Source organism: Homo sapiens, chromosome 6, assembly GCF_000001405.40.
Source record: "Homo sapiens chromosome 6, GRCh38.p14 Primary Assembly".
Taxonomy (NCBI): domain Eukaryota; kingdom Metazoa; phylum Chordata; class Mammalia; order Primates; family Hominidae; genus Homo; species Homo sapiens.
In genome coordinates, this window is record NC_000006.12 from 1,557,834 (window position 1) to 1,567,752 (window position 9,919).

General features: G+C 39.7%; 1 long non-coding RNA gene across 1 annotated transcript; it reads right to left on the minus strand.

The window, feature by feature from the left end:
- Positions 1 to 1,024: 1,024 nt before the first annotated feature.
- Positions 1,025 to 5,125, minus strand: LOC107986555 (uncharacterized). Its single transcript, XR_007059403.1, has 2 exons — positions 2,300 to 5,125; positions 1,025 to 1,347 (listed from the first exon to the last, which is right to left on the minus strand). It is a non-coding gene; the product is annotated as an uncharacterized LOC107986555 (long non-coding RNA).
- Between the last annotated feature and the right edge of the window lie 4,794 nt (positions 5,126 to 9,919).

A 9,919-nucleotide genomic window follows, 5' to 3' on the forward strand; every position in this document is an offset into this window, starting at 1 on the left:
CATGGGAAACCCTGTATCTACTAAAAATACAAAAATTAGCCAGGTGTGATGGTGCACGCCCGTAATCCCAACTACTCAGGAGGCTGAGGCAGGAGAATTGCTTGAACCCAGGAGGCAGAGGTTGCAATGAGCCAAGATCACACCACTGCACTCCAGCCTGGGCGACAGAGCAAGACTCTGTCTCAAAAACAACAACAAAAAAAATTAAAATTAAAATTAATGAATATAAAAAATAAATTTAGACTATATTTCAACTTAACTCATAATGAAACATTTCAGCATTTATTTATGTCAGGTTAAATTAAGTCTAAATGGATCATGAAGTCTTTATGCTTCCCCTGAAAATGAAAAACGAGGGCTACATAATTTTTACATGTGAAAGATTTAAGCTTTACAATGCCATATAACAAAAAGATTTCCCATTCCAAGACAGTGTTCCCAAGGAAATTAAGCTTTCTTTTCTCCACCATGATAGTTTACTCAAACAAACAAACAAACAAATAAACTAAACTTTGAAAGAATAATAAGTTTAAGAGAGTGGGAGAATGAATGAGTTCAGGCTTTTATGTAATTGTCATTCCACCAAGGGGGTTCAGGCAGCGTCAAGACAGTTAGACTAGGTAGTCTTTATTGCCTCTGTTTGGGTGGTTTGGATCTGTGTCCCCGCCCAAATCTCATGTTGAAATGTGATCCTCATTGTTGGAGGTGGGGCCTGAGTCACGGGAGAGGATATCTCATGCGTGGTTTAGCACCATTCCTTTGGTGCTATTCTCGTGACGGTGAGTGAGTTCTCTCAAGATCCGGTCGTTTAAAAGTGCGTGTGGCACCTCCCCGCCCCCTGCTCCTGCTCCCACCGTGTGAGACATCTGCTCCCTCTTTACCTTCTACCATGACTGGAAGCTTCCTGAGGCCTCCCCAGAAGCAGATACCTGTGTATCTTCCTCTGCAGCCTGCAGAACCATGAGCCAATTAAACATCTTTTCTTTATTCATAGCAATGCAAGAACAGCCTGATATACCTCTCCAATTTTTCTAGCTTTTTATTGAAAAAAAAATATATATATATTTGAGATAGAGTCTTGCTTTTTTGCCCAGGCTGAAGTGCAGTGATGTGATTTTGGCTCACCACAACCTCCACCTCCCAGGTTCAAGGAGTTCTTCTTCCTCTGCCTCCCTAGTAGCTGGAATTACAGATGCAAGCCACCACACCCAGCTAATTTTTGTATTTGTAGTAGAGATGGGGTTTCACCATGTTGCTCAGGCTGGTTTCAAACTCCTGACCTCAGGTGATCCGCCCACCTGGGCCTCCCGAAGTGCTGGGATTACAGGTGTGAGCCACCATGCCCAGCTGAAAAATATATAAAAAGTAGAGAGAATATTATAATAATTCCTCCCATAGCCTTCACATAATTCAACAGTTACCAATACATTGTCATGTATTATTTATATATACGTTTATCTAATTCCTCCCTCCCTCAGTTACCTTGAAGTAAAACAAGATATATCATTTCATGCAAAATATTTCAGTAGGTATTTCTAAAATATAATGACTCTTTAAAAAAAAGCACAACTATATTATAATTATCACACCTAAAACAAAGTAACAGCAATTTATTAACATCATCAAATTTCCTGTCAGTGTTTAAATCAATCATTTCATCATTTCTTTTTATGTTCTGTTCAAATCAGGCCAAAAGCCCATGCATAATAGTTGGCTTACATGTTTCTTAGCACATTTTAAATCTATAGTTTCTCTCTCTTTCTTTTTCCTTGTAATGCATTTGTTGAAGAAATCAGGTCATTTGTCCTACAGTGTTTTCTATGATCTGAATTTCCTGATTGCATGCTGGTGATTTCATTGAAAAGTCCCCTGTACTTTGTGTAAGCTGATAATTGTATCTAGGTCCTTCATAAGATTCACTGTAACCTCTTCTGAGGTTGTTCAGCTTTATGATTTGCTCTTCCCCTTGAAAAGGTGTCTCAGTTATGCCATTTCTAACTACTATGAATAAGGATGTCTTTTTTCTGTGCAATTTCTTAGTAGGGAGGATACACAAAGTCTTGCATGGTCTAACGGAAAGAGCACAAAATTTACAGCCTAACAGATTTCTGTGGAAGACCCACTGCCTGTGAACTATGTGATCTTGGGCAAGCTATTTATACCATAATTATATCATTTATTAAATAGGAACAATAATGACTGACTTATGAAGTTATTGTAAAGAGTGGCAAGAGAAGCACATATAAAGCATCAATCACATCATACTTTTTTATATGAAGTACAGAAATCTATTTCTTACAATTCTGGAGGCTGGAAAGTCCTAAGTCATGAGGCTTGCTTCTGGCAAGGGGCTTCTTGCTGTGTTGTCCCATGGTGTGAAAGATGGAAGGGAAAGAGAGTGCATGTGTGCATGAGAAAGATAGGGGAGAAAGAAATGAAAATATGAAACTTTTCATTCATTTAAGCATGAAATAGTGATGGGCATAGAACTAAAACATCACTAGGGCCCAATTATTAAACCTATTACTCACATGATGTTGACATTAATCCATTCACGAGTGCAGAACTCTCATGACCCAATCACCTCTTGAAGGTCCTGCTGTTGCATTGAAGATTTAGTTTCCAACACAGGAACTTTGGGGAACACATTCAAACCACAGTACCTGCCATATCTTGCTGTAACTTAACCTGAGTTCTCAGTTCTGCATGTTCATGTGCATACATCATCTTTTTATCCACACAGTCATGCTCTTCCTGCACCCATATTGCTACTTTCCTTTCCTACACACAATTTGAGAACTATATTTTTAAAATCACCACAGATAGGAAGATTGTTTCCTGAAAACAGTCTTTTTTCAAATGACATCCCCAGAATTTGGACCATTTTTGACCCTAACAAGCCTGCCCCTGATTTGAATGACATGGCTTCTGAGTGCAGTGCTTGTCCTGGAAGCTGGTCTTGTCCTGGGAATAGCATGTCAGTAGGCAGAGCCTCAGGTGGGCAGGATGGCAAGCTGTAAGACAGGAGGCAGGAGAGGGCGTGGGGCAGGCATGGGATGGGGTTCAGGCATGAGCAGCTCAAGAGCCGGGGCAGATGGAGTCAAGGCAGAAAGGGCTTGCTGGAAATTGGGAGCCAGGCATTGAATGAACAGTCAGGGCTGAGGGTTTTTGTAGCTGGGTTGAATCCAGAAGGCGAGGGCCTGGAACCAAGGCAGCTAAGCTCAATGCTGTATTGAGAGCCCAGGCAATGTAATATCTCAGGACCCAGGAGAGAGACCTTCTGGGGACCTTGCATGAGACTGTAAAGCCAGACTGTCTGGGTTTAAATCTTGGCTCTGCCCCTTATAGCTGAGTATCTGGGAGCAAATTATTTCACTTCTCTGTGCCTCAGTTTCCCCATCTGTAAATTGGATGACTATAATAGTACCTTCCTCAGGGGGCTGTTTAAGTGAGTCAAAACAGGTAAAGTTCTTAGAAGTGGTAGTTGGCCCATAGTGCCATCAGATTCAGCTATTTTCTTTTAGAAGTTAACCATTAGACCACTTTGCATATGGAGGATTCTTCTCCAAGGGTATGTCACAGGCCCTGAGCAGCCTCTGATGCTGCTGAAAGGGGAGCTTATCTTATCTCCAACCCAGGGGAGTCTTGGCCTTGGTTAGCAAGATAAATTTTTAGTAATGTGTGTTATTATTCTACCATTATGGAGATATCAACAATGGCTCTGTTCTCTTCCTGGGATGTTCCTCTCCAACCTGTCCTCCTAACTCCATGCGGCTTTTCAACATTTCAGTCAACCATTACCTCTTCCAACAGGTCCTCCCAAGCCCCCAGGCGGAGCTGCCAGCAGCTGCCCTGTCTTTTGTGTTATCAGCATTTATCAAACCACTCTTAGTTTGCTTGTTTCTCTTCCTCACTAAAATGTGAGCTATTATACTCACAGATAATGCCTCTGTGTTTTTTATTTAAATGTTGTTTTCATGTTAAAATATTTCATGCAGAAAAAAATATATAACTGACACTTAAGTACCCACCACCAAAATTAAGCAAAAATTGATAGTTTGTCTATTTGGCTTCATCTTTCTTCTTTAAAAAAAGTAATGTTACCGACCAGATAAAGCCTCACCCCCATACTTCCCTCATGCTTTCCTTTTCAGAGGAAATGCCCATCTTACAGCATGTTTTTGTAATTTTATTTCACACATACAAATTCCTGATCAAGATATACTATTGCATGTATTGGATCTTTAAGGTCTATGTAAATGGTATCAGGCTGGGTGGATACTTTAGCTACTTTCTTTTTTTTAGAACTGATGTTTTTGAGATTTATTCATGGTATAATATGTACCTTTTTTCATGATTTTAACAGCTGTATTATATTCCCTTCTGTGAATAAGTTACCATTTATTTAGCCATTTTCCTACTCAGGGAAAGTTGAATTGGTTCCTTTTGCTGCTTCAAACAGTGCTCCAACGGACAACTGTGAGCATCCATCTTTGTGCACACATGTCTGTGAGCTAATACTTGTCAGCGTTTCTCTGGGGGAAGAGATGACTCCACATTGCTTACTCCCAACACAGTGCCTGAAATAGCAAATGACCAGTCAATGTTTGTTGAAGGAAGAAATGAAAATATGAAACTTTTCATTCATTTAAGCATGAAATACTGATGGGCATAAAACTAAAACATTGCTAGGGCCCAATTATTAAAGATATAATTATAGCTATGCAGGAGCATTTACAAATGTGAATGGGCTGCTATTTCTTGGCTTAAGCCACAGAAATTCCTGTTCAAATGAATTATGGGGGAAATGAAGATATAATGCCAGAGAAAAGCAGTCACTCCCTGGGTTGACTTTAGCTATGTATCCAGTTCAGTTCTGAAGACAGAGCTTCAATTGTTATTGCAGATGAAACTGAAGGGCCAAGTCAACCACAGGGCTCTGATTTATGGCACTATGAGTTGCAAAGGGATCTAATACCTTGCATTACAATGAGGCCTTATTCGCTTTCATGCGAATGATCAGGGACTGGATCACACATAAACAGATACACTTTGCCTTAAGAGGCTACTTGGGGCATATGATGCCACATGTTGGAACAACATTGAGATCACTGAGCTGCTTAAGCTAAACATTATTCAGCTTCTGATGCTGCTTTAGAAACTAAATTATAAAACCTCATAACTTTGTTGTTTTCCACCTTTCCCAGGTGAGAATCTCCCACATGCAAAGGTAGTGTCAAAAATCCATCCATCCCAAACCATGGGAATACCTATGCTTTCCTTAACTAAATCATTAGCAATAGAGATGAGATTATACTTATACCAATTAGATCCACTCCATAAAGCTAAGTAGAGAATTAGCTTTCCCATAAGTCATATGAAAGCGAATACCACATGGGAAGGTAGATGCCTGAACTTTCCTCTTAAGAGGAAAGAAGCAAGGGATAAATCCTGAGAAGACAATCAACTGTGTCAACTATAGTCCACCCCTTTAGCTTCCTGATATCCGTACTCTTCTTGCTCATGCCTACATGAAATGTACTCAATGAAACTCCAGTTCTCTGTGTAATGTACAGTCATCTTCATCAAGTGGTTTCTCATGTTCAAACAACACACGAAACCCAAGAGAGTTGTAATTAAAAATCAAAAAATTTGAGTACAATATAGGAGATCAGGAAAGGCAGCATTTCTGCTGCAATTTGAAAAGCTAAATTGGAATGATCATGTTTCTAAAGGCACTGGAGAGACGCAAAAGCAACAATAATTAGATGAAATAAATTTCAAATAAGAAAGAAGTCCTTTCAAGGTAATCCAAGGGTCACTGGCCATTTTTTTTTTTCCTGGGAGCATTTGCCAACTCTGACCCCAAAAAGAGGTGCTAGGCTCAGGTAAGGAGATGCCATAAGAGCTTTTGGCAGTTGCATCAAACCAGCCCAAAGAATTGGAAGTGAGAGAGGGCCAAATGCAAAGCTGGCTTTCCTCATTAGTCATTGGCTGAATGCAGGGGTGGTGTAGAAGACTGCGGAGTCTGGCCAGAAAGACAGAGTAAAATCTTCCACAGTCTCAGAGTGCTGTGAAGATAATGTCCTGCTAGAGAGAAGGAGCCTAGAATAAGGAAACAACAGGTCTTCATTACAACATGTTTGTCAGATTTTGAAGCTACATCTAGCAGCAGAGGGTAAAAAACTAAGCTAAAACCTTGGAATGACAAAAAGTCTAAGGCTGAAGAGAGAAAGAATAGCTAGGCTCAATTCAAAGCCTAAAAGGACCACAGCCAAGGAATAGGGATTAACCAGAGCTGAACCAAGTTTTACTAAAACTGCAACCTAGTCCCAGCCCAGCTCAGATCCCCTTTTCATTTAGGTAATCATAGGATGCTACACAGAAGAAAATGAAGACTGGCCAGGTGCGGTGGCTCATGCCTGTAATCCCAGCACTTTGGGAGGCCGAGGCAGGCGGATCACGAAGTCAGGAGATCGAGACCATCCTGGCTAACACGGTGAAACCCTGTCTCTACTAAAAATACAAAAAAAAAAAAAAATTAGCCAGGCGTGGTGGCGGGCACCTATAGTCCCAGCTACTCAGAGGCTGAGGCAGGAGAATGGCATGAACCCGGGAGGTGGAGCTTGCAGTGAGCCAAGATCATGCCACTGCACTCCAGCCTGGGCGACAGAGTGAGACTCTATCTCAAAAGAAAAAAGAAAAAGAAAAAAAGAAAAGAAAAGAAAATGAAGACCATTCCTGATTTTAAAAAATCATATGGAGCTGGTGTAGTTATTTTGTGTGTAAGCACACAACAACAAAGAGACAGGAAGGTATGATCAAAAATCAAGACAAAAATGAACAATAGAGGCAAACTTACCAAAAATACAGGGTTTGGAATTAGAAGGGAAGGATATTCAAATACATAACATTATATTAAAGAAAGTAGAGGAAAAGATGAACAGAAATCAACAGAAAGTAGAGGAAAAGATGAATGGAAATCAACAGAGAATTGGAATCTATACAAAACAATCAAGTCAACATGATAAAACTGAAAAACTATCTTTAATTAAGAATCTTAATTTCTTAATTTCAGGTGGGTATCATAAAAGGCTGGAAACAAAAGAAGTCAAGTTAGAGACAAATAGAAAATATATACACTGAAGCACAGAGAAGAAAAAGAAGGCATGTTGAGGATATAATTTTAAAACACAATATATACGTAACCAAAGTCCTAGAAGAGGAAGAGCAAGAGACCAGAGAAGAAGCAATACATGGGGCAGAAGATATAATGGCCAAGAATATTCCAAAATTTATGAGAAGACATCAACGCACAGATTTTAAAATCTCAGAAACCCAAAGCAGGATAAATCAAAGGAAACACGCCTACCATCCTATAGTCAAACTACTGAAAAACCTGAGAAAAGTGACAATCACAGGAAGAGAAGACACATTACCTTCAAAGGAGCAGCAATAAAACTGATGGCTGACTTTTCAACAGAAACTGGAAACCAAAAGACAATAGAATGACATCTTTACAGTGCTGAAGGAAACGGCCAACCTTGAATTTTATACCCAGTAAAAATGTTATTTGCAAATTAAGGTGAAATATGGTTGGACATGATGGCTCATGCCTTGTAATCTGAGCACTTTGAGAGGCTGAGGCAGGAGGATTGCTTGAGGCTAGGAGTTTGAGACCAGCCTGGGCAATACTCCATCTCTCCAAAAATAGAACATAAACTTAGCAGGGCATGGTGGCATGTGCCTGTAGTCCCAACTACTCAAGAGGCTGAGGTGGAAGATCACTTGAGTCCTGGAGTTCAAGGTTACAGTGAGCTATGATCCCACCACTGCACTGCAGCCTGGGTGACATGAGCAAGACCCTGACTAAGGAAAAAAAAAAAAGAAAAGAAAAGAAAAGAAAGAAAATAAATTAAAAGTGAAATAAAGACACTTTACTGAAAAACAAAAGCTGAGAGAATTTATCATCAGCACACTGGCAGTATAAAAAATGCTAAAGGAAGTTCTTGGGTTGAAGAAAAATTGTCACAGACAGAAACATAAAACTGCAGCAGAGAATTGAAGAGCACTAGAAAGGAGAAGAACTATCTGCTCAAGGCCAGCTTTGAAGGAATGGATCCTGGTGCATAAGGCACAAGCTCTGTAATAAGTTTTGAATTCAGGAAGTGTGGGTCCTTCAATTTTGTTTTTCTTTTTCAAGAACGCTTTGGTTATCCTGGATCCTTTGAATTTCCATATGAATTTGAGAACCAGTTTGTCAATTTCTACAAACAAGTCAGCTGGGATTAGGATACAAATCACTTTGAGTTGGTAGGTCAGTTTGGGAGGAGGTATTAGCATTTTAAAATATTAAATCTTCTGATCCATAAACACAGGATGTCATTCCATTTATTCAGGTCTTTTTCAACAACATTTTGTAGTTTCAATATATGTATTTTATTTCTTTTGTAAGTTTATTCCTAAGCATTTCATTCTTTTGCAGCTATTTAGATTTCAGAAAGTGTGAGTCCTGGCCTGGCTCTGTGGCTCACACCTGTAATCCCAGCACTTTGGGAGGCCGAGACGAGTGCATCACCTGAGGTCAGGAGTTTGAGACCAGCCTGGCCAATATTTCTACTAAAAATACAAAAAATTTCTACTAAAAATATACAAAATTAGCCAGGCACAGTGGCTTACACCTGTAATCCCAGCACTTTGAGAAGCCAAGGCAGGCAGATCACCTGAGGTCAGGAGTTCGAGACCAGCCTGACCAACATGGAGAAACCTCATCTCTACTAAAAATACAAAATTAGCTGGGCATGGTGGCACAGGCCTGTAATCCCAGCTGCTCGGAAGGCTGAGGCAGGAGAATCACTTGAACCCGGGAGGCGGAGGTTGCGGTGAGTCAGGATCGTGCCATTACACTCCAACCTGGGCGACAAGAGCAAGACTCCATCTCAAAAGAAAAAAGAAAAGAAAGTGTGAATCCTTCTAGTTTGTTCTTCTTTGTAACTGGAATTGTTTCTTTTCTTGCTCCTTATTTTTATGTACCAGTTGTATGTTTTTAGATTTGAGATTACCATAGACTTGCAAATAATATCTTATAATCCATTATTTTAAACTGATGACAACACCGATTGCATAAACAAACAAGTAAAAAGAAAACTAATAAAAACTCTATACTTCAACTTTGTCTCCCTTCTTTTTACCTTTTTCTTTTTGTGAGACAGTATCTCACTCTGTTGCCCTGGCTGGAGTGCAGACAATCACAGCTCACTGCAGCTTTGACTTCCTGGGCTCAAGTGATTCTCGCACCTCAGCCTCCCGAGTAGCTGAGACTACAGGCACACATCACCACACCCAGCTAAATTTTTTTATAATTTTTTGTAGAAACAGAGTTTCACCATGTTGCCCAGGCTGGTCTTGAACTCCTGGGCTCAAGCGATTTGCCTGCTTTGGCCTCCCAAAGTGCTGTGATTATAGACGTAAGCCACTACACCCAGACTTTTTAACTTTTTGTTGTTTTTATTTATATCTTATTGCACTATGTCTTGAAAAGTTGATGTAGTTATTTTTTCTGATCAGTTTATCTTATCATCTTTCTACTTAAAATATGAGTAATTTACACACCACAATTACAGTTTTATAATATTCTGTGTTTTTCTGTGTGCTATTACTAGTGAGTTCTGTACCTTCAGATGACATCTTATTGCTCATTAATGTTATTTTCTTTCAGATTAAAGAACTCCCTTTGGCATTATTTGTAGGACAGATCTGGTATTGAGATCCCTCTGCTTTTGTTTGTCTGGGAAAGCCTTTACTTCTCCTTCGTGTCTGAAAGATATTTTCACTGGATATACTAATCTAGGGTAAAAGTTTTTTTCCTTAGGCACTTTCAATATGTTATGTCACTCTCTCCTGGCCTGTAAGGTTTTCA